The 24455-nt window shown below is 44.2% G+C and overlaps 2 protein-coding genes across 4 annotated transcripts in view, besides 3 other annotated features; one reads left to right on the top strand and one right to left on the bottom strand.

The window, feature by feature from the left end:
- The window catches only part of TSTD2 (thiosulfate sulfurtransferase like domain containing 2), a 33289-nt gene extending 22895 nt beyond the window's left edge, over window positions 1-10394 (top strand). Inside the window, exons 6-10 of the mRNA NM_139246.5 lie at window positions 23-128; window positions 4213-4331; window positions 4833-4991; window positions 5609-5747; window positions 7707-10394. Coding sequence (NP_640339.4) covers window positions 23-128; window positions 4213-4331; window positions 4833-4991; window positions 5609-5747; window positions 7707-8005 — 822 coding nt within the window. The 3' untranslated portion in view covers window positions 8006-10394. The remainder of the gene's footprint in view (window positions 1-22; window positions 129-4212; window positions 4332-4832; window positions 4992-5608; window positions 5748-7706) is intronic.
- TMOD1 (tropomodulin 1) overlaps window positions 8731-24455 on the bottom strand; it is a 100564-nt gene continuing 84839 nt past the window's right edge. For all 3 annotated transcript variants that reach the window (NM_001166116.2, NM_003275.4, XM_047423825.1), the window contains 2 exons: window positions 19039-19183; window positions 8731-10840 (listed from right to left, as the gene is read on the bottom strand). In NM_001166116.2, the coding sequence (NP_001159588.1) occupies window positions 10776-10840; window positions 19039-19183 (210 nt within the window). In that variant the 3' untranslated portion in view covers window positions 8731-10775. The remainder of the gene's footprint in view (window positions 10841-19038; window positions 19184-24455) is intronic.
- Window positions 11517-11566: an enhancer, noted in NCBI's record as "active region_28671". NCBI's record gives its function as "activates an Ori minimal core promoter by ATAC-STARR-seq in GM12878 lymphoblastoid cells {active_cell/tissue: GM12878}" and the evidence as "EXISTENCE:reporter gene assay evidence [ECO:0000049][PMID:35858748]".
- Window positions 11657-11726: an enhancer, noted in NCBI's record as "active region_28670". NCBI's record gives its function as "activates an Ori minimal core promoter by ATAC-STARR-seq in GM12878 lymphoblastoid cells {active_cell/tissue: GM12878}" and the evidence as "EXISTENCE:reporter gene assay evidence [ECO:0000049][PMID:35858748]".
- Window positions 11797-11856: an enhancer, noted in NCBI's record as "active region_28669". NCBI's record gives its function as "activates an Ori minimal core promoter by ATAC-STARR-seq in GM12878 lymphoblastoid cells {active_cell/tissue: GM12878}" and the evidence as "EXISTENCE:reporter gene assay evidence [ECO:0000049][PMID:35858748]".

Here is a 24455-nt window from a genome sequence, read left to right as displayed (position 1 = left end):
TGTTTTGTTTCTCATTGGCTAGACCAGCAAAGGAGGAGCTCACTGTTTTCCAGAATTGCGTGTTGGTGTATTTGAAGAAATCGTGCCCATGGGGATCAGCCCCAAAAAGATCTCCTACAAGAAGCCTGGTATGCTTGCTTTTAGAAGATTGTGCTTTAATTCACAGGGACAAAACTTAATAGACAAATAAGAAAGCTAGGCACTGTGATCAGCAGCAGTCATGAGTCCTCTCTAAAGCAGCTGTGGGGTGGCTAACACTTGGCTGCATCCAGTGCTTATACTGTTTCTCTGTGGTGCTGTGGGGTTGAAGACTCACCTCTTCGAGTGACCTATCTTATTCCTCTTGGTGATGGTTTATCAATTAGTTGTTTGCTCTTTCCAAAGACAGCAAGCAGTTTGGGAAGAGTGTAATTATTACTTGTAAACAGTTCATTAGCAGAATAGAGCAAATAGGCCTTTTGCTACAGGAAACAAGTTGCTTTCAACACCACAGCAGTTTTCACTGTGCTCTAGAATGTTCTTTCCCCATCTTCTCCATGGTAAATGGTTGAAAGACATTTGTTTGGCAGGTTTTTGGGGGTTTTATTGTAGTTTTTACTATGAAAAATTTTAAACATTAAAAAAGTAGAGAAAATAATATAGTGAAGTTCTATGTACCTATCATGCAGCTTTAGCAGTTAACTGATTAATGGCCAGCTCTCACCTATACCCCATCCCTTCTCCCATCTTGGATTATTTTGAAAGCAACCCCAATGTCAGGCCATTTCATTTGTAAATATTTTTAGTAGGTATGTCTAAAAGATAAAAATTTGTTTTAAAAGATGCAAAACGATATCACATCTTAAAACATTTTAACTGATTCCTTAATAAATTATCAAATATCTAGTTGGTTTAGTCACTCAATTCCCGGTTGTCTCATACTTTTTAAGCTTCATTTCTATTAGGATTTAAATAAGGTTCATTCACTGTGATTCATCAGTATGTCTCTTTAAGTGTCTTTCAACCTATAGATTTGTTTCCATCTTTTTTTCCCCCCTTGCAGTTTATTTTTGAAGGAACTGGATCATTTGACCTTTAGAGTTTCCCATAATCTGGACAATAATAATTGTATTCCCAAGATATATTTCTCTGTCCTCTTTATTTCCTATAAGTTGATCATTAGATTTAGAGTAGTGCTAATAGAAGTATAATGTGAGCTACACAATTTTACATTTTCTAGTAGCCATGTCTTTAAAAGTAAAAAATAGATGAGATTAATTTAAATAATATGGTTTTCTTAATGCAGTATATCAAAAATATTATTTCAACATGTAATCAATATAAAAAATTATTAGTTTACTTTTTTTCATGCTAAGTCCTTGAGATTCAGTATGTATGTCACCCCTATTATAGCACAAGTGCTTGTCAGCCACATGTGGCTAGTAGCTACTGTATTAACAACCAGGACTAGAGACTTGATCAGATTCCAATTTGATTTCTTTTTCTCCCGCCACCAAGACTACATAAGCACTGTTGTCTTCTTTGATCAGGAAGCACAAAGGTCTGGTTGACTCCATGGTGTTCATTTTGTAATATGTAAAGTTTTGAAAGAAGTCTAAGAGTGAAGCCAGGGGGAAACGGGATTAGGATACAGGCATCTGGGAAAGAGACTCATGCATGGGGAGATGAGGGCCAGAAAGAGCTGTTGTCTGCTTACTGTTCCCATCTTAGCAGGAGGCAGTATGACTACAAACAGCTTTTCCTGGGCACTGCAGGACATTGCAGGCAGAGAGTGGGCTCTAGGCAGTGCTGTCTTGTTTTCACTTGAAGGAAGTTTAAAGGGACCTCTTTTTCTTTTTTTGAGACAGTCTTGCTCTGTTGCCTGGGCTGGAGTGCAGTGGCGTGATTTCAGCTCACTGTAACCTTTTCCCCCGGGGTTCAAGCGATTCTCCTGCCTCAGCTTCCCAAGTTGCTGGGATTACAAGTGTGCGCCACCACACCCGGGTAATTTTTGTATTTTTAGTAGAGATGGGGTTTCGCCACACTGGCCAGGCTGGTCTCAAACTCCTGACCTCAAGTGATCTGCCCACCTCAGCCTCACAAAGTGCTGGAATTATAGGCATCAGCCACCGCACCTGGTAAAGAGATGTCTTTTAAACACATCCATGCTGGTCACTGTCCAAACAATCGTTCTCAGGGCCAGTAGAACAACTGCAATCATAGCAGCAGGGAACAGGTTTGGTTTCCTGTGGCTTCCTGCAGGTAGAAGTCTTAGCACATTTCCATGCTTTTCATCCCATGTTTGTTTGTTTGAGATGGAGTCTCACTCTGTTGCTCAGGTTGGGGTGCAGTGGCGCAATCTCAGCTCACTGCAACCTCTGCCTCCTGGGTTCAAGAGATTCTCCTGCCTCAGCCTCCCGAGTAGCTGGGACTACAGGCATGCGCCACCACGCCCAGCTAATTTTTTTTGTATTTTTAGTAGACGGGGTTTCGCCATGTTGACCAGTTTGATCTGCAACTCCTGGCCTCAAGTGATTCACCTGCCTCAGCTTCCCAAAGTGCTGGGATTATAGGCGAGAGCTGCCTCACCCACGCCTGGCCTTTTTTTGAGACGGAGTCTCACTCTGTTGCCCAGGCTGGAATGCTCACTACAACCTCTGCCTCCCAGTTTTGTGTAGTTCTCCTGCCTCAGCCTACTGAGTAGCTGGGAGCTAAAGGAATGTGCCACCACACCTGGCTAATTTTTGTATTTTTAGTAGAGACGGGGTTTCACCATGTTAGCCAGGCTGGTCTTGAACTCCTGACCTCAGGTGATCCGCCTGCCTCAGCTTCCCAAAGCATTAGGATTATAGGTGTGAGCCACCATGCCTGGCCTACGTCCCATGTTTGAATCTCCCTTTTCACCCCACTCTTTTTGTATCCATGTAATTGTGTGACAGTACCTTATATAGAATCTGGCCTTACTACATTCTCATTACAACCATAACTCAGGCAGGTAGCAATCCAGATTCCTTGGCCTGGCTCTGGGCCCTCATCTCTCCTTGGTGTGGAGTAGTTTCATTGGTTGTTGGGGTTCCTCTCTGAGGGGAATGAGGCTCCTTTGGTGCTGTAAAGCTTTATCATGAGTGGTAGGTAACTGAGTCACCAGAGCCCCTGCCCATGAGGCATGGCTACCTCATAATGCAGATTCACCAAAAGTTCCTCACAATCTACTGAGATTTCTGGACCCTCAAAGATAGGGGAATATTTCTATCCTAGAGAGTTACAAGGCAAAGAGCCCCAGGAGACTGAGGTTCTCTCCTATTAGTCCCTTTGTATATATATTTTTTGAGACAGGGTCTTGCTCTATTGCCCAGGCTGGAGTACAGTGGTGTGATCATAGCTCACTGAGGCCTTGATCTCTTGGGCTCAAGGGGTCCTCCTGCATCAGCCTCCAAAGTAGCTGAGACTACAGGCACACACTACCATGGCCAGCTAATTTTTTAAATTTTTTTTAGAGACAGAGTCTCGCTATGTTCCCCAGGCTTCCCCTTGTATTTTAATACTTACCCATCTTCTAGCTTTCCTGTCTTTTTCTCTCCTTTACTTTCTTTCTCATATGTCGTTTCTGTTGTCCACCCCTCTTGCCCTTTTCTCTTTTACTCATGCACACACACTTAGACACATTCTTCTTGCTCCTTTGCATTAAAAATGTATCTATTCCAACTTTATTCCATAACTTTTTGCTCACACCTGCCTGTGGGTTCTTAGCCTTCAACGTGGGTTCGACCTTAATATAGAACAGTTTACAAAGCCTGTAGTCAGCCACGTACTTGCCCAGCTCCTCCATGTACAGTGACAATAGAGCAGTGGCCATTTCCTGACCTACCAGTGACCATACAATGGACCAGCAAATTCACATGGCAATTTAGATCCCAGTTGCCTGGTTTTTATCACTAGGGTTAGGCCAAGTATGAGGATGCAAAATTCTTTGACTAGTTATTTCTAAACTACCAGGTCTCCATTGCCCTCATTTTAGGAGGAGGGAGATTGAGGATACCTGGAATTACTGGAATTACTAAGTTATTTCATCATGATCATCAAGTAGTGTTCTTTTCAGACAGTTGTAATTATGAAGAGAAGAGATTTGGGTGGAAAGAAACAAAGCAACACGTAAGTCAGGCTGGGTGAGTCATGATTGGGTTTTGGTTTTTTTGTCTTTGTTTTAATATAATTTTTTTGGTTTGGTTTTAGGAATCCATTTATCCCCAGGTGAATTTCATAAAGAAGTAGAAAAGTTTTTATCTCAGGCAAATCAAGAACAAAGTGATACTATCCTTCTTGATTGCAGAAACTTCTATGAAAGCAAAATAGTAAGTAAAAGCCAGAACTGAGTTCTCTGAATTGGTAGATCTCCCCATTCCCACAGTGTGGTATATTTCCCAAGGGGACCTTGTGTGTGCCCACCTGTGGCCACATGGATCTCCTCCCAGTACTGGCAGCTTCAGAGAAAACCCAAGTCCTAAAACTCAGAAATCTGGTGAGAGAGTCTAAGAAAATATGAATTAAAGGCATCCAGGCACATAATATACTTTGTGACTCCCATGAGCCTGCCTTTGACATGTATCAAGGATCTTGCAAAGTTGCCTTTGGGCAGCCTCTCCAGTTCCCCTGAGGACCCTGGGAAGGTGACCCACAGCCCACAGCCTCGGTTTTAAGTTGAGATCTTGAAGTTGAAAGGTCAGAGTGGGGATGAGATTAGCAACTGGCAGGGGCTTCTTTGCTAAGTAGGGTTTGTTGGGTACAAAAAGAACCTTTGTTCCTACCAGGTATGTTTTTCTGATAATTTTCCTTTTGTTGCTCCTATGTTACAGGGACGATTCCAAGGCTGCTTAGCCCCAGACATCAGGAAATTCAGTTACTTCCCTAGCTACGTTGACAAAAATCTAGAACTTTTCAGAGAGAAGAGAGTGCTGATGTACTGTACCGGGGGCATCCGCTGTGAGCGGGGTTCAGCCTACCTCAAAGCCAAGGTGAGCCACCACCCCGGGGCACTGTGGGCATGGCAGTGAAGGAGGCAGCTCCACCAGCAGCTTACGTGGAGCTGTCCGCTGCCCCCAGTACTCCCCACCCCCAGGCAGCCAAAGCATGCCTTCACCCCTCGTATGGCTCCAGCATGGAGTTCGTAAGTACAAAATCTGAGGGTCTTTAATCTCAAGATATGAAAAACACTTAACAGTCATAGAGACTCATCAGATGTAAAAGGGAGAGATTAGTTAACATCTCCCTTTTCCTGATCCTTTTGCTTGATCCTGAGAAGAGCAAATTCAGTAACATTACATGTCCCAACAGGTGTCTTCCTATATTTAGGGGGCAGCAAAAATAGTTGGGCTTCCCAGGATCTAGAGGGTGAAGGCCCTGCCTGCTGTCATCACCCATCCCCCTAGGAGGCAAGATCTGGCCAGTTGGTGCCTTGACCCCTTGGTCAGCAATTCCTCAGTGTCCCGCAGTGGGAGCCAGGAGCCCCTGACTGATAGCAGCGGCCATGAGTCCTCTACGTCAGCACTCCTCGCCATGCGCCGTTCTTCCGTGAGCATCTTAACAGGTCTCTGCTGGCTCTTCAGATTTCCTGTTGTTTTTCCACACCTAGGGAGTGTGCAAGGAGGTGTTCCAGCTCAAGGGTGGCATCCACAAGTACCTGGAAGAGTTTCCTGATGGCTTTTACAAAGGGAAGTTGTTTGTTTTTGATGAACGCTATGCTCTGTCCTACAACAGTGATGTGGTGTCAGGTAGGTCAGCACAGGCTCAGAGCCCAAACTGAAATGAAGCACATTGTCAGTTCACTATTCTAGAAAAATGACACAGGGAAGACAGGCCAGTGCTCATTACTGAGCACTGAATAAGCAGGGAAAATAAGTACATTGTGCCACCATTTTCCCAGCTGTGGAGCTGAGAGAACCCTAGCCCAGGAGTCAGGAGGCCTGGGTTGGGATCCTGGCTTCACCATTGCTAGCTGGACAAGCCCATTAACATGGGGATCATCTCACCTGCCCTGCCTGCCTGTCTACCTGCCAAGAGCTGTACTACTGGGCTAATTCAGGGCTCTTAACCTGGAATTGGTACATAGATTTCAGGGATTCTGTGAATTTGGATGGAAAAATAATTGTATCTTTGTTTTCAATAACACCTCACTAAAATGAAGCATTTCCTTTAGTTATGAATGTAGGCAACAAAGTACCAGTTGTATTAATGTACCTGTGACTTTGTCTTCAGTAGGATTCACAATACTTTCATATCATGTTCTAGTTGCCTCAGATATCTCAAAATAGTATTTATACTCATCACTGCTTCAAAATGAAAATAGTTATTAGGCCCACCACTAAGAGTTGATATATAATGTGTTAATAAATGGCACGTCTTATTATATATTACAGATTTTGAAAAAGACTTTGATATTTTGTATTTCTGTATAGTTGGTTTCCTTTGTAATCTTACATATTTTATGCATTTAAAAATATTTTTCTAGGTCAGGCACAGAGGCTCATGCCTGTAATCCCATCACTTTTGGAGGCCAAGGTAGGAGGATCACTTGAGCCCTGGAGTTTGAGACCAGTCTGGGCAACATAGCTCACTATGTCTCTACAAAAACTTTTTTAAATTAGCTGAGCATGGTGGTGTGTACCAGATACTCAGGAGGCTGAGGCAGGAGGATTGCTTGAGCCCGGGAGGTTGAGGTTGCAGTGAGTTTAAATCATGCCACTGTACTCCAGCCTGGGTGACACAGCAAGACCCTGTCTCAAAAAAGTTTTTCTAGGCCAGGATCTATAGTCTTCACCAGACTACCAAGTAAATCCGTAGCACACATGATTTTAGGAACTCATAGCTCTCTGTGGACCCAGGTGGCATGCACATTTGAGTAAGATTTGCGTTTGATTGTCCTCTCCTACTTTCTTGGTCTTATTTTCATTTTAGTGGTTTTGAGTTGTCTCTTATTGATCACTACTTCGATCTGTTTTGGAGCTAGATGGAGTATAAATTCTAAACAAGTAGAAAGAGTAGATTTGATTTTACAGAGGTTATATTGGCTGGACTCGATGGGTACCTGCGTGTGAGTATGAAGGAGAGAGGGAAGGCTCAGAGGTAGCTTAGATAAGCAAGGTAAGGAAAAGTGAGGAAGAATGATGTTATCAATAGTAACAGGAGGTCATCAGGGAAAAACAGGTGAAGAAGATGGTGTGAGTTTTAGGAATCAGATGGTCAAGTGCCCTAGCAACAGCAGGAGAGACACAGGCCTCGGGGAGAGGGGTGTGGACTGCGCATGTTCACTGTAGGTGGGTTATCGCCTGTATTTAGGTGTGTTGTCCCCCCTGGAAAAGGGAACAATCAAAGAGGAAAAGACCACTTAACAAGGGGGTTGGGAGGTAGTTGGCCAGCTTTGGAATAGCTGGTGAGAGAGAGAAACTTTCATTACCATCTAGTTACCACCTGTTCTCTAGATGGGAAAAAGAAAAAAAAAGTCAGTAAATACTGGAAGCAGACAGTTACCAGAAGTCACCCCCACAAAAAAATAAGCTGGGTGGTGGGGGTGGTGGTTAGTTGTTGTTGCTAGAAGACAGAAGACTTACTATTTGGAAACCTTCCCCGGGTTCCACAGGATCTACGAGATTCTAGTCAGCAAAGGGAGCAATGCCTGTCCACGTGTGTGTGAATGTATGTGTTTATAATGATGGCTTTTCCTTCCTCCCCAGAGTGTTCATACTGTGGAGCCCGCTGGGACCAGTATAAACTCTGCTCTACTCCCCAGTGCCGCCAGCTCGTTTTGACCTGCCCTGCCTGTCAAGGACAAGGATTCACAGCCTGTTGTGTCACATGTCAAGACAAGGGGAGCAGGAAAGTTTCAGGCCCTATGCAAGACAGCTTTAAAGAGGAATGCGAGTGCACAGCCCGACGGCCACGCATACCTAGGGAACTCTTGCAGCATGTGCGACAGCCTGTGAGCCCAGAGCCAGGGCCTGATGCTGATGAGGATGGGCCAGTGCTTATGTGAGCAGCACCTTTGGCATTTTCCCAGGCCCTCGGTAAAAGTAGGTTTGGGGTGACTATACAGAGAAAGCATGGCAAGACTGCAGAAACAGAGAAATCGGGAACTTCAGTTCTGGCCGCTGCCACCGTGGCAGCCGTCTACACTTCACAGCGGGAGGGGAGGAGTCACGTTGTCTACCACTTACCTGAGACATTCTGATTTGGATGATGCTAGAGCACAGAAAATAGGTGAGCTGCATGGGATCCCAAAGCTGCTGAGGGATAGAGCCTGAGCCTGGTGGCCACAGCATATGCCCTTTCTGTTCCATGCAGCTGGGGCTGTTAGTAGTCATTGCCCTTGTCAGCAGACCTTCTACCCTGGTGGCAAACACATGAAAGCTGTGGCCCTGGGAGTGGCCTCCTAAAACAAGCCACTTAGGTCATCTGCCATCTACCCTTAACCTCTGTCTCTCGCCTGAGGGGAATCTGCAAGCTGTGCATTGGGCTTACCTCCTGCTTTTGTAGAAATAACCATCCTTTGGTATACATGGAGGATAGTTCCAGAACGCCTGAGTATACAAAAACCCAATGCATACTCAAGTCCCACAGTGGGCCCTACAGAACCCACGTATGTGATAAATCAGCCCTCCATGTACGCAGGTTTCGCCCCCTGCCAATACTGTATTTTCAACCTGTATGGTTGAAAAAAATCCATATATAAGTGCAGCCATGCAGTTCAAACCCATATTGTTCAAGGGTCAACTGTATAGTTTATTGAACAGCCACACCCATTCCTTTACACATGATCTATGGCAGAGTTGAATAGTTGCAACAGACACTATGTGGCCTGCAAAATCGGAAATTTTTACTGTCTGGCCTTTTACAGAAAAGTTTGCCAGCCCCTGATCTAGACCAGCAGCTCATCTGATAGAGGCAGAGGTGGCCTTAAAGATGTGGCCTTCTTCATTTTCTGTTGGTTTGGTTTCGTTTCTATGAGAGATTTCCTCTGATAGCTCTGCTTTCCCCAGCACTTACTCTCTGAGCTTTTAAATGTTCTCTCTGGGAGCTTCATATAAGCTCGGTGACATTTGAGCCACAGTTTTTAGATCAGCACCTGGAATACATGACACATTCTTACTGAGGTCATCCAGCACTGCCATGGTGGCTGCCCAGTCTTCTGGCCAGTGTGCCAGGCACATGTCCCTGTCACACAGGTTCCAAGAAACACATACGCAGCCATGCATAGACCAACAGATTTAATATTATATTGCAGTTTTCAGCGATGCAGAATGCAGCTGCAATTGTGTTTTAAGGAGAAGCCAAATGGGGATGGTTGTCCCTGCAACATGGTGCCACTCCTGGGCCATGTGCAGCCTCAGTGGACACTCTTCCATAGCGCTGAGGCCCTGGCCCCGCCTCCAGTTACCCTGTACTGCCCACTGCCTTACAGTTCAGTGCGCAGGCCTTCACCTTTTCATCACCAGCCTCTCTGCTCAGTGCTCTGGAGTTCTTGACCTTGTCCTTTATCATGAGATTTGCTGAAATCACTAATGAAAATAACTCCCAAAAGCAACAAACAAAAATATTAGTTTAACTGGCACTGTGGTATATTAAAAGGCACAAGGGCATTGTGGCTTAACACTTTTGCTGGATCCCAAGAGACGCACATGATGTTAAAAAGAGATCTGGCAGCAGTACTAATACTACATTTCAGTGTAATCATCTTGGGGTGGTTTGGCCAGGATTTCCCAATTCCTTGATATCTGGAGTTTCTTCACCATTGTCCGGCATCCTGCGGAGGCTTAATATACAGGCGTAAGGTCAGCAGCAATTTGTCTAATAAGTGATGAGATCAGTAGCTGAAGTCTCTAAGCTGGGCCATTACTAAATACCATAGCCATGTTGATCTGGAAATTTATCCCTCTAGTGTCTTACCTCACATAAGCCATTTGCCCACTGTGCAATATAGAAAGGTGTTTTCAAAAGTATTTGGCCGTAGATTTTCACATCCATCATAAGGTTGGCATTCAATAAGGAAAAAGTTCTAACTCCAGTATTAAATTGTACATAAATCCCAAATGTTCTTAAAGAACACTCAGGGACATGTTTGTTGCCTGGGATTGGTAATGAAAGGTTGGTTTTTGAAACTTGAAATTTCACCATTGGTTTTTTTCCTATCATTTCTGCATATCCAGCAAAAGGAATCTCATGTTGACTCCTGGCAGAGTTCAGTGGCTTCAGTCTGTCTATCTGTTCTGAGGGGAAAATTGTGTTCTGGATCCAGTAATCAATTTGGCAACTTTAATCGAGGTTTTCAAAATTCCAAGGAGGGTTAATAAAGAATGATAATCAGTTTTATTTGCTAATAGCTAAGACAAATTTGTAATAAAGTGTTTTATAATACTTCAAAAGCATGTGGAAGAGTGTGCCGTTTCTGTGTCACACATTTTAAATGCACTTGAAACACCACACAGCAAGGCCATTGAAACTGGGCTCCTGGGGCTAAGTCGCTGCTGCTGGAACATCATCTTCAGTAAGATCTGCTGGTTTGGGGGCTTCTAGTTTTTAAATAATAACCAGATTCAACTTCTGTGACTAAAGAAAAACTTCACATTAACGGTATTTTATAAAATTTTCAACTACAACCACTAGTCAACCTAAAACCTTAGTGCATAAAGAACTGAACCACAAAAGGGTTTCATGCTGCCAGCATTTTGCCTTCTGGTTTCCCCTGCAGAGCACAGGTCATCAATAGAACACATCCAGTTCAAAGGCATGGACTCCACCGCCACACACTAGACACCACTCCGGCACTTGGGAATGATGGGCCCAGTCAGGTCCGCAAGCCTCCTCTTCCTCACTGGAAAGGAATGGAGATAAGATATAAGGCACTTTTCCCTGTAGACCAGGGGCCAGCACTGTTGCTGAGAAAGCACTGTGAAACCTCGCACTAATTGGTTTGTTAACAGAGTCTGAAGTCTGTTGTTTTGAAAGGACAGTATGTGTGAGTTGTACAACAGCCCTCCAGTCTGTCAGTGTTCATTGATGAGGGTCTGTGGTAGTGGAGATTCATTCATAGATATCTGCTAAGTGGCTGACCACACAGTCCCACGTTATAAGTCGGCTATTTTCTTTGCTTACAGAAGCTCCAGTTGAAGATCTTTACTCCGGTGTTCAGATAAGAGTTAAAAGTTTAGTCAGTCTTCTTAATGAGATTAGGGTCTTAACCAGGTGGAAACATTTCCCCCAGCTATGTCTGGGAGCTCCTGGCCTACCTCCTGCCTATATAAACGAGAGTTTCCACCCGAAAGATTACCCTGCAGTATCTGTATCCCCTTATGTTTAACCTTGCCATTTTCCCCGGGGGCAAGACAGTTATGCTCAACACTGTTCAAGTGACAAAGTAGTTAAATGCCATGAAGAGGAAAGCACTAGCCAGGAGGTTGCAGGCTGGAGACGTTAGCTTAAAGGATGATGAGGATGCAGGGAGGGGCAGGAGGGGCTCTGTTTGTTGTAACAAGGGAGAGTGTTTTGAAATTAATTGTAGTGTCTGCAGATAAGACCAAGCAGCAAGCTCTATGAGCCACAAGAGAAAGGTCAAAGAAGTCTGTAGAGCCAGTAGGTGGCAGTCGAGAGGCCTGCTGGTGTTGGCAGAGACAGGAAGCTATGGTGGAGGGAAAAAAAGTCCGTCTATACTTAGATGTCTTCAGGTTCCCAAGCTGAGGCGGTAGACCTGCAGCCACCAGATCGATGAATACGAGCTGCAACAAAAACCAAATCAGCTTGTGCATGACACTGGCCATACAAAGCAGACCCACAAGGGAGGTGGGGCCAGCCCAGTTCCTTAGATGATCAGAATGTCCAACTTCTTGGGGGTAGATGTGAGGGGACAAAAACCAAAACCCAAAGAGCACAAGAGGTTTGCTCAACGTGACCAAAGAGTTTACATGAACCAGACTTTTAAGCATCTCCATAGTAGCTGTGCAGGCATGCCCACCAGGGCCATCCTCATTGCCTCATCGGAGCCCCTCCAACGCTGCTGGAATGTTAGTTACCATTCCCATTTTATGGATGAGGAAAGTATGGCAGAGAGGGTATATTTCTTGCTTAAAGCAATAAAGCTAGTACCAGACAGGACCAAGCCTTTTTTTTTTTTTTTTTTTTTTGAGATGGAGTTTCGCTCTGTCACACAGACTGGAGTGCAGTGGCGCAATCTTGGCCCACTGCAACCTCGCCTCCCAGGTTCAAGCAATTCTCCTGCTTCAGCCTCCTGAGTAGCTAGCATTACAGGTGCCCGCTGCCACACCCGGCTAATTTTTGTGTTTTTAGTAGAGATGGGGGTTCACCATGTTGGCTAGGCTGGTCTCGAATTCCTGACCTCAAGTGATCCCCCACGCCTCAGCCTCTCAAAGTGCTGGGATTACAGGCATGAGCCACCGCACCCAGCTAGAACCAAGACTTTTGACTCATCTTGAGCCTCAGTCCAGTGCCTCCCTCAGTAGACTTGAGCCTTGTGTGGGTAGGGTTTCCATATCCATATCGCATCTGATTCTCACAGGGAGGATTAGCTCCTTCTCCCTGCAGAAGAAAAGAGCCCCAGTCCCTGAGAGCTGGCAGCAGAGCCAGGACTGAAATCCAAGTCCCTGGCCCATGGTTGAGGGAACAGAAAGGACCCTATGGCTTGGTGGGGGGGTTATTTTCCATTACTTGCCCTCATTGTGTCCACTGGGCCGGATCTGTGTGTGTGTGTGCATGGTTCCCCTGGCACTGGCTTGCCTATTTTTTTTTTTTTTTTTTGAGACGGAGTCTTGCTCTGTTGCCAGGCTGGAGTGCAGTGGCCCGATCTTGGCTCACTGCAGTCTCCGCCTCCCGAGTTCAAGCAATTGTCCTGCCTCAGCCTCCCAAGTAGCTGGGACTACAGGCATGCACTGCCATGCCCAGCTAATTTTTTGTATTTTTAGTAGAGACAGTGTTTCACCATGTTGGCCAGGATGGTCTTGATCTCCTGACCTCATGATCTGCCTGCCTCGGCTTCCCAAAGTGCTGGGATTACAGGCGTGAGCCACCCCACCCGGCCCCCTGGCACTGGCTTTTTCAGGGACTGGATGGAGAGAAGGGAAAGGCATCCATTTATTCAGGTATTATTTTTTTCCCTTTTTAATGATGAAGGAAGTTGAGACCAGGAGAGGGAAGTAACTTATTCCAAGTTACGAATAAGTCACAAAACTGGGAGTAAAAGCTGGGTCTCCCAATATCCTCCTTCAATTCTGTCTGGTCTTTACTTTCTTTAAAAAACTCTTCACTGCTTATTGCAAGAGCCAGAGACTCCTTTTATTGTGAATGCCAGAAGGGCTCTCCAGTCGTCCGGACCAACCTCCATCTGCTGCTTGAACTCCTCTGCCACTTCTTGCCAAATTTGAACATTTCCATCATGTTTTTGGAAAGCACTTTCTATTCATTTAAATATTCGGCAGCATGTACTGAGTGCTGTGTGCCAAGCACAAGAATCAGAAGTAAAGACACAGTATAACAGGAACCAAGATATACAATGTTTGAGAACTACTGTTTGAGAAATATGAAGTATTAGAGATGCCCTGGCAGCTCTCTGAGGTATGAGAGGCATAAAGAATGAAGTGGTCAGACCTTCCCAGGTGGCAACTAACAGGTCAGCTGAATTTTAAACAACAAAAAGGTAGAGGATGGGAAGGTGGGGGGCATTGGGAGTAAAGACCCTCTAAGGGTAAGCTTTTCCTTGGTCACTTGGGGGCACTCAGGCTACCTGGAATGGTAGTAACATGGCAAAGGGATGGCTTGTTGGAGATGTCAAGAGACGACCTCCTGATGGGACCATCTCCCAATGTGGAGCACCCAGGCACTGGAGCCACATTGCCAATTCAAATCCCGGTCCTGCCCACGGATTGTGGGTAATGTTAATTACCTACTTCCCTAGACTTCTGTTTCCTTCTTGTAAAGTGTGGATAACAATAGCACCTGTCTCACCTGGTTGTGGGGAGGACTACATGAGCTAGTGAGATGGGAAGTATTCAGAACAGTCTCTAACACACAGTAAGTGCCATGTAAGAGTCAGCTATTATTAAGAGACTTGGGAGTCATTTCAAGGGGCCTGACTGAGAGCAATGGGAGGCAAGTGAGGGTTCTAAGTGGAGGGGTGACAAGGCAAGCTTCGGAAGGAGACTTGGGATGAGTGCCAGGGGTGCCTGCCCTGGAGGAGCTGGGGGCCTGAGGATGTTGGAGGAGATAACTGTGACGAGGGCTCAACATACACGGCAGGACACTGGGATTGGCAAGGAGGTGACTGGCTGGCTGGGGTGGAGGCAGCATCTAGGAACAGGCCCAGATTTCTGGCTTGGGTGGCTGTGAGGAAAGGAGTAGCCTTTTCTTTTTTTCTTCTTCTTTTTTTTTTGATGGAGTTTTCTTGTTGCCCACACTGAAGTGCAATGGTGTGGTCTTGGCTCACTGCAATTTCTGCCTCCCGGGTTCAAGCGATCCTCCTGCCTCAGCCTCCCAAGGAGCTGGGATTACAGGTGCCTGCCACCATGCCCGGCTAATTTTTTGTATTTTTAGTAGAGACAGGGTTTCACCATGTTGGCCAGGCTGGTCTCAAACTCCTGACCTCAGGTGATCCGCCTGCCTCGGCCTCCCAAAGTGCTGGGATTACAGGTGTGAGCCACCGTACCTGGCTGCCTTTTCTGAGATAGGTTTGGGGGACTATGATGAAACTGATTTGGGATCCAGCAGTCCCACTTCTGGATATTTACCCAAAATATTAAAATCAGTTGAAAAGATGTTTCACTCCATGTTCATTGCAGCATCATTCACAATACCCAAAATAAGGAATCAACCTAAGTGTCTATCAACAAGAATGGATAAAGAAACTGGGGGATATATGCACAATGGAGTACGATTCAGCCTTTTCTTTAAAAAAAAAAAAAAAAAAAAGGAAATTTGTTCATTTGCAACCACATGAGTGGAATTGGAGAACATTATACTAAGTGAAATAAGCCAGCCACAAAAAGACAAATTATATGTGGAATCTAAAACAATTGACCTCATAGAAGCAGGGAGTAAAACTGTCATTACAGAAGCTGTGGGTGGGGAATGGGGAGATAATGGCCACAGGATACAAAAATCTCAGTTGGACAAGAGGAATAAGGTGTTTTATAAAGCTCTGTTACACAGCATGGTGAATATAGCTAATAATAGTGTATTATACATTTCAAAATTGCTAAAAAATAAACGTTCTCACCACAAAAAGTATTTGAGGTGATGATATGCTAATTCACTTAATTTAATTTTTCCACATTGTATTCATAAATCATAACAGCACTTTGTATCACATAAATATATACAATTACAAATTGTCAATTGACAATAAAATACATTTTTTTTAGAAATTGCTTTGCAGTGTGCTATGTCTGGGCTGCTTGCTGCAAAGGTCTTCCCTGAGAATACTGTAAAATGGTGACTCCCAGGAAGGGATGTTTTCTGCTTTTAAACATGTTACTCTCCCTCCACACGATACCCCAACCCACACAACTGTCTTAACTCACAGGCTGCAATTCAGATTTTGCTAAGTGGAGAGAGCTGCAGTGGCAGATTTAGAGGACCTGAAGTGCCATGCTTGGCCTGGCTCTTTGCTATAAATAGTGTGGAGATGACAGTCATCTGAGGTATTGCTGTGGGAAAACGCAGATGGGATCCACAGCTCGGCTCCTCCCTGGCACCCTGCACTCACAGAACGCTCTGTTTAGAGCTTGGTGCCCAGGGTGGGGAGGACCGAAGACGCACTGGTCAGGATGCATCCTGGGCATACCGCCTGTCTGCAGAGCCAGTCGCTGTCCTCATAGCCTTGGGGACTCAATGTCCCCCAAGGAGGAGCCCAAGTACTGCAGAGGCCCCAGCCATGGGCAAAGAGCCAGCAGAGGCAGGTGAGAATGAGCAGGAGGCCTGAGAGGCCTGCTCCCTTCCCAATCTGCGCTCCCTGCTGCCAGGCCTGCTAACAGCCTCAGTCCCGAGGAGGAGCTGGCAGGAGGCTTTTACGATACAAATATTCAGTTGGAAAACATGAAGTCTGTCTGCTTCACTGCGGCATTAATGTAGGATGCAAATAATCTGTTGTAAAGTCAGGAGGAAGCTGAGGCACTGCCATAACAAACATTTCTCTTACAAAAATTAGCAGATGGGCGCAAATTTCATTTTAAAGCTAGAGATCCTACATCACCAAGTAGCACTCTGTTCCCTGTAATCACTGAGATGATTCATCTCTAATTCCTTCTGTAGGAAACCCCAAGGGAGCAGCTGCCCACAGTTCCCTGGGGTAACCCAGAGGCCCAATTTTATCACCTGGCATCACCGTCCAGGAAACTGCCACGGTCTCTGCTTCCCACCTGCTTCCATCGCCAGGCCCCTGAGCTTGACATTAAAGGCCTTGGGCTGCAGCCACCCAAACACCTACCCAGCCCCATTCCTTGTGAACATCCCATATACTTTCAACTGTCCTGCCTTTGCTCATGCTGTTCCCTCTGCTTGGAATGCCCTTCCCTTCCTACTTTGTGAACTCATTTTTCCTCCTAGGTCTAACTCCTTTTAACAGTTCCTCCAATCCTTTTAGATCCTTCTGTCTCTCCTTTGTACCCCCAGCACTACTTCCTAATACTCCTAGAACCCCCAGAGGGATGCCTCTAGACCTCCTCCATCAACCTATCTCTTCCTTTCAAGGCTGGCTAAAGCCCCATCCCCAACCAGCATGCTTTGCCTAACTGGCCTCTGTCTCAATAAATCATTTCCTCACTTTGTTTAGATAGAATTTGTAGGCATTCTTGAATTTTTAGGCATGCCTTTGAGTCTTTTTTTTCCCCTAAAAGGTTATAAAGCTTCTTCAGTCAGAGGTAGCCTTTCTGCTACCTCTGATATCACCTAGCACAGTCCTAGGCACACAAAAGTTGCCCAGAAAATGCTTGCTGTCACTAACAGCTGGTGTGACCTGACTGAGCTGCTGCCTAGACCCCCTACCCCCACCCCAGGCTCCAGTTTCTTTCTAAGGGAACTGGAGGGATAAGCTCTAAGTCCTTCTGGTTCTACCATCCTACATTCTTACAATGGCCTCTGAAAGTTCTTGGTGATGGGAGTCAGGCCTGAATTTTGGACTCTCAGATTCACAGGACTGGGAGAGTTTTCAAAGGCCATTTTGTCCAACTCCTAGATGATGCTGGTATCCCCCTGCAGCACCTGTGACCTCTGCTCATCTAGAGCCTCTATCCCCAGAAACAAGACCTCCATACCATCATGCCATTGGAGGACAAAAACTGGGTTAGCCCAGAGATAGGAGCCAAGGGGCACAGAAGAAACTTAACTGAGGGGGAAACAAATATGAGATTATTGCATATAGAATAGAAACGCAAGGCTTCTCCGTGCTGGTACTGCAGCCAGATCACAGCTGCTGGCCTTCTCCAACCATTCAGTTTAGCTATGACATCTGTGAGATGATGTAATAATTATGATTCTTATTTGTGTTTGTTCTTATTTTATTTCAAGTAAGGATACTTCTGATAAACCAAGACTCTGCACACATTTTAAAAAATGGGCTTTTCTAAACCCGAGGCTCTAGAAAATAGTGGCATTTGCAGTGAGCAATGAATGAATAGCTCCTGGGCTGTGACATCCTTACAAGCAGGAACCTATAGAATTTTGGTATATGTTTGTGGAATTTAATAACTCGATCTAAAGTGTGTGTGTGTGTGTAATCCTGTGGTTATCTGTGCATGTGGGGTCTGTGCACACCTGCCTTGAGCATTCACTCCTACACACTCATCTCTGTTCTTCGAGGGCTTCCAGGTAGTGACCTGGCCTCAGATAAATCACCAGGAAGTGACATACTTTGAGTGGAGCATTCATATTAGGCTCTTTGCATTTTATCGAGGGTTGGAAACCATTGTGTAGAGCAGGTTTGAATCTGATGAGAAACTCACTGAAGATGCTGTCCTTTAAAACACAAGTTCATTTCACAATGTAGTCCCAGAAAGAGGCTTTTCTTTTTTTTTTTTCAAACTCATTATGCTTCCTTCCCTTCTGTGATAAGAATAATGTAACTTGGCTTGGCTTCCTGCTGTCTTGGTTCTAGGAAACTCAGGGCTCAATATAATCATCATTCATGTTAATGATATAGACCTACTGCTTTTCTTGTTTTTTTTCCCCCTCTTGTTTTCCTATAGCCTTGTCAGTCATGCTCCCTTTGTTGAATGCTATATCAAATTCTTTTTTGGCAGCCAGCAGGAATATACATAAGCAATAACTACACAGAGCTTGTGAACAACCGGCATCTGCAAGTAAGATCATGATTGCTCAAACTTCATTCAGTTGACTTATATACCTATTTGTTCATATAGGTATATAAGTGTTCATTATCAAAAAATATTGTGATATTTTCATTTTCTTAATTTTTTTATTTTTTAAAATTTCCTGATAATGTCTCCTTCATAATAATTTTTCCTTTTAGAAAAAAACAAACTATGCCTTTAATTGAGATTACATTAATATACCCTACTTTTACTTTACTATGAAGTTGACATTTTCAACTTTTACCTTAAAATCAATGTGAAGTCTCCTAGGCTCAGATTTTGGTAGTCCTATTGGAAGGTAGTTTTGGGATTTGGGGCTAAATCTAGACTGTGTGACCTGGAGAGGACGCTATGAGTTCAGAAAAGGGTATTCAGAAGAGGAAAATACTCCCGGCGAGACTTGTGCCCTCCCAAATTTCAGTTCCTTCTGCAAACACACTTAAGTGTGCTCTGGGCCCAGCCTGTGCTGAGCTGTGCTTTGAGGAGGAGAGGACTCAGCCTTAGCTCCTGAAGTCAAGGAGCTCGTAGTCCAGGGTGGAGATGAGGTACAAACACAGAAAACAAGGAAGACGCGATCAATGTGAAAATCAAGGCTCAAGAAGACTCGGAGAGGCATCTACAGAATTTTCCCTGACATCCCCAGCACAGGTGGAGGGAATAACAGGACTGCGGGCAGGGCAGGAAGCATATTTCTACTCACCAAGGTCATTGTTGTTCATCATTGCGTTGGATGCCCGAAGCCGGGGTCCTTGCTGGGTAAAGTGGTAGCCGAATTTGAGAAGTGTTGCGTTTTTTTCCAACATGCTCACAATCTCCATTTCCACTTTGTTGCCCAGGGGCTGGCTCTTTAGTCAAGAAAAAATAAAAAATAAAAAATAAAATCACCACTCATTCCATGTGTACAGTGCCTAAACCACCTCTACCTGCAGAAACTCTTGAGTAGTGGGAGGGGATTTTAGCCTCCTCTCCAAGAGTAGGGAAATGGAAGTTTAGAGAAGTTGAAAGGTCACACGGCCAGGAGCAAATGAGCTGGGATTCAAATTCAGGTCTGCTGGATGCCAAGAACAGATCTTTTCACTGCTTTACAACAGCCTCTCTCTGAGCAGGTGCCCAAGTAAGAGCTCCACGACAGAAGAGTATTTGAAGGAGGACATTCAATCATCTAGTCCTAAGGAGACTTTTAAAACCCTGCTGTCCGGGCTATACCCCAAACTACCTGAATCAGAATCTCTGGGGAGTGGGACTCTGATGGCTGTGTTTTTAAAAACTTCTCAGGAGATTTCAATATGCACCCAAGTCTGATAACCAGTAATTTAGTCTCTTCAAATTATAAATGAAAAAATTGAGGCCCAGAGAAGGAAAAAAGGTTTTCCCAAGATCACATGGTAAGTTGACAATGCCAAAGTTAGCTTTCTAAAGCCCAATTCTGATCATATTATTAATGGTTCCCTGCCCCCAAATCTATAGTGATCATCTGACAAAGATATAAAGAAAAAAAATCAGAAAAAAAAAAACAGAAAGACCCAACAATGTTGGGAAGAATATGATGAGGATGTTCATCACAGTCTCAGTTATAATAGTGCCAGGAAAAGGGAAACAATTTCTTAAGAGGCCAGGCGTGGTGGCTCATGCCTGTTATCCTAGCACTTTGGGAGGCGGAGGTGGGCAGTCTGCCTGAGCTAAGGAGTTCGAGACCACCCTGGGCAACATGGTGAAACCCTGTCTCTACTAAAAATACAAAAAAAATAGCCAGGTGTGATGGCGGGCACCTGTAGTCCCAGCTACTTGGGAGGCTGAGGCAGGAGAATGGCTTGAACCCGGGAGGCAGAGTTTGCAGCGAGCCGAAATTGTGCCACTGCCCTCCAGCCCAGGCGACAGAGCGAGACTCTGTCTCCAAAAAACAAAAAATAAATAAAAATTGAAAAAAAAAGAATTCATAGAGAGTTGCTCAGATAAATGATAGTTCAACCATACTAAATAGAATGTGGGCAGCTCTAAAATGATGGTGCAAATCCTTGGCCATAGCATGTAAAGATGGCCATGAACCAATATTGAATGGAAAGAAAAAAAAAGAAAAAAAACCCTGGTCACAAAATAGACGATTTGTATGTAAAGTTGTCTATATTTTCCATATATATACATAATGCAGAAAAAAAACTTTTAAGTATATTGATAATGGTGGGATTTGGGGAGAAAGTTTTTGTTTCCTTCTTTATATCTTATTGTATTGTTTGGATTTTCTATTACCATATATAATAAAATAATAAAACATAAATATAATCTTAAACAGGAGGTAAAAGACAGAAAGCTAACATCATACTTAATAGTTAAAGACTGAAAGCTTTCCCTCCAAGATTAGGAACAAGATAAGGATGTTTGCTCTCACCAACATTTTACTGGGGGGGTCTAGACAGGATAATTAAGCAAGAAAAATAAATAAAATGCTTCCAGACTGCAAAGGACAAAGTAAAACTATCTGTATTTGCAGATGATATAATGTTGTATATAGAAAATTCTAAGAATACACACACACCCCTACACAAAATTAGTGAGTTCCGGCCGGGCACAGTGGCTCACGCCTGTAATCCCAGCACTTTGGGAGGCCGAGGCGGGTGGATCACGAGGTCAAGAAATCCAGACTATCCTGGCCAACGTGGTGAAACACTGTCTCTACTAAAAAAAAAAAAAATACAAAAAGTAGCTGGGCGTGGTGGCGCACACCTGTAGTCCCAGATACTCGGGAGGCTGAGGCAGGAGAACCCGGGAGGCAGAGGTTGCAGTGAGCAGAGATCGCGCCACTGCACTCCAGCCTGGCAACAGAATGAGACTCTGTCTCAAAAAAAAAAAAAAAAAAAATTAGTGAGTTTGGCAAAATTACAGAATATAAGATCAATACACAAAAATCAGTTGTACTTCTATACACTAGCAATAAGCAATCTGAAAATGAACCTGAGAGAATAATTAAATTTATAATAATATAAAAAATATTAATTCTTCTTCTTTTTTTTTTTTTTTTTTGAGACAGAGTCTCACTCTTGTTGTTCAGGCTGGAGTGCAGTGGTGCAATCTTGGCTCACCACAACCTCTGCCTCCTGGGTTCAAGCAATTCTCCTGCCTCAGCCTCCTGAGTAGCTGGGATTACAGGCGCATGCCACCATACGTGGCTAATTTTTGTATTTTTAGTAGAGACAGGGTTTTGCCATGTTGGCCAGGCTGCTTTCAAACTCCTGAACTCAGGTGATCCACCTGCCTTGGCCAAAGTTCTGGGATCATAGGCGTGAGCCACTGCGCTTGGCCAAAAAGAATAAAATACTAATTCTAACTTCTTTTGTTAGATTTATTTCTAACAAAAGAAGTAAAGACTTATATATTGAAAACTACAAAACAACACTGAAATACATTAAATAAGACCTAAATAAATATAAAAAACATCCCATGGATCTTAAGTCTTCATGGATCAGAAGACTTAATATTGTTAATATTGCAATATTACCAAATTGATTAAAAGAATCAATGCCATAGATCAATAGATGTTACACTTCATCAAAATTTAAAACTTTTGTGCTTCAACAGACACAAGAAAGTGAAAAGACAACACAAAGAATGGGAAAAATATTTTGTATTGATATTTGTAAAAATATTTGGTAGATATAGGATTTAAATATGAATATATAAAGAACTATTAGAACTCAACAGTAAAAACACAATTTATAAATGAGCAAAGGATTTGAATAGACACTTCTGTAAAGATAAAAATGGCAAATAAATATATGAAAAAGTGCTCATCATTAATAATTCAGAAAATGCAAATCAAACCACAATGAGATTCCACTTCACACATACCAAGATGACTATAATAGAAAAGACAGACAGTAACAAGTGTTGACAAGAATGTGGAGAAAGTGGCACCCTCATACATTGCTGGTGGGAATATAAAATGGTGCAGCTCCTTTGAAAGACAGTTTGTCAGTTCCTGAAAAAGTTAAACATAGAGCTACCATATGACCCAGCAATTCCACTCTTGGGTGGAAAATAAATAAAAACATAAGTCCACACAAAAAACTTGTTCATGAATGCTCATAACAGCATTATTCAGAATAGCCAAAAGAAGAAACAACCCAAATGTCCATCATCTGATGAATGGATACACACAACGTGGTAGATCCTTACAGTGGAGTATTATTCAGTCAGAAAGGGAATAAAGTTCTGATATGTGCTATTATACAACACGAATGACCCTGGAAAACATTATGCTAAATGAAAGAAGCCAGACACAAAGGCCATATATTGTATGATTCCATTGATATGAAATGTCTAGATGAGGCAAATCCATAGCGATGGAAAGGAGGTTAGTGGTTGCCAGGGGCTGGGGGAGGGGATAAAAGCAGAATGAGAGCTAATGGGTACAGAGTTTCTTTTTTGAGTGATAAAAATTTTCTAGAATTAGATAGTGGTGATGGTTGCAGAGCCTTATGAATACATCAAAACCCACTGAATTTTAAAAGGATGAATTGTGTGGTGTGTGAAGTACGTGTCAATTAGAAAAAAACTCCACAGTAAAAAAAAAACAAACAATTAGAAAACGGGGAAAGGATATGAAGAGACATTCACTGAAGAGGATGTACATATTGCAGATAATCACATGACAAGATGTTCAACATCATGACCTATCACAGAAATGCAAATCAAAATCACAATGAGATATCACTACATACCTATCAAAATCTCTAAAATAAAAATTAGCAACAACACCAAACGTTGGTGAGAATGTAGAGAAACTGGCTCACTCATAAACTACTGGTGGGTCTAGAAAATGGCACACTGTGCACAAGAGTTGAGTTTTTTAAAAATGCAATTGGACTCCCAGGTATTTATCCCAGAGAAATTAAAACATATGTTTACATAAAATCTGTACATGAATGTTTATAGCAGCTTTATATGTAATAGACAAACCTGGAAACAACCCAGACGCCCTTCAACAGGTGAGTGGTCAAACAAACCCTGGTACATCCACACCATGGAATACTACTCACCAGTGAAAAAGAGCAAACGATTGGTACATGCAACAACTTGGATGAATCTCCATAGAATTATGCCAAGTGGTGGGGAGGAGCCAAGATGGCCGAATAGGAACAGCTCCGGTCTACAGCTCCCAGCGTGAGCAACGCAGAAGACGGGTGATTTCTGCATTTCCATCTGAGGTACCAGGTTCATCTTACTAGGGAGTGCCAGACAGTGGGCGCGGGTCAGTGGGTGCGTGCACCGTGCGCGAGCCGAAGCAGGGCGAGGCATTGCCTCACCTGGGAAGCGCAAGGGGTCAGGGAGTTCCCTTTCTGAGTCAAAGAAAGGGGTGACGGACGGCACCTGGAAAATCGGGTCACTCCCACCCGAATACTGCGCTTTTCCGACGGGCTTAAAAAATGGCGCACCACGAGATTATATCCCGCACCTGGCTCGGAGGGTCCTACGCCCACAGAGTCTCGCTGATTGCTAGCACAGCAGTCTGAGATCAAACTGCAAGGCGGCAGCGAGGCTGGGGGAGGGGCGCCCGCCATTGCCCAGGCTTGATTAGGTAAACAAAGCAGCCGGGAAGCTCGAACTGGGTGGAGCCCACCACAGCTCAAGGAGGCCTGCCTGCCTCTGTAGGCTCCACCTCTGGGGGCAGGGCACAGACAAACAAAAAGACAGCAGTAACCTCTGCAGACTTAAATGTCCCTGTCTGACAGCTTTGAAGAGAGCAGTGGTTCTCCCAGCACGCAGCTGGAGATCTGAGAACGGGCAGACTGCCTCCTCAAGTGGGTCCCTGACCCCTGACCCCCGGGCAGCCTAACTGGGAGGCACCCCTCAGCAGGGGCACACTGACACGTCACACAGCAGGGTTTTCCAACAGACCTGCAGCTGAGGGTCCTCTCTGTTAGAAGGAAAACTAACAAACAGAAAGGACATCCACACCAAAAACCCATCTGTACATCACCGTCATCAAAGACCAAAAGTAGATAAAACCACAAAGATGGGGAAAAAACAGAACAGAAAAACTGGAAACTCTAAAAAGCAGAGCACCTCTCCTCCTCCAAAGGAACGCAGTTCCTCACCAGCAACGGAACAAAGCTGGATGGA

This window comes from Homo sapiens, chromosome 9, assembly GCF_000001405.40.
Source record: "Homo sapiens chromosome 9, GRCh38.p14 Primary Assembly".
In the NCBI taxonomy this organism is placed as follows: Eukaryota; Metazoa; Chordata; class Mammalia; order Primates; family Hominidae; genus Homo; species Homo sapiens.
This window is presented reverse-complemented; position numbering and strand designations above follow the sequence as displayed.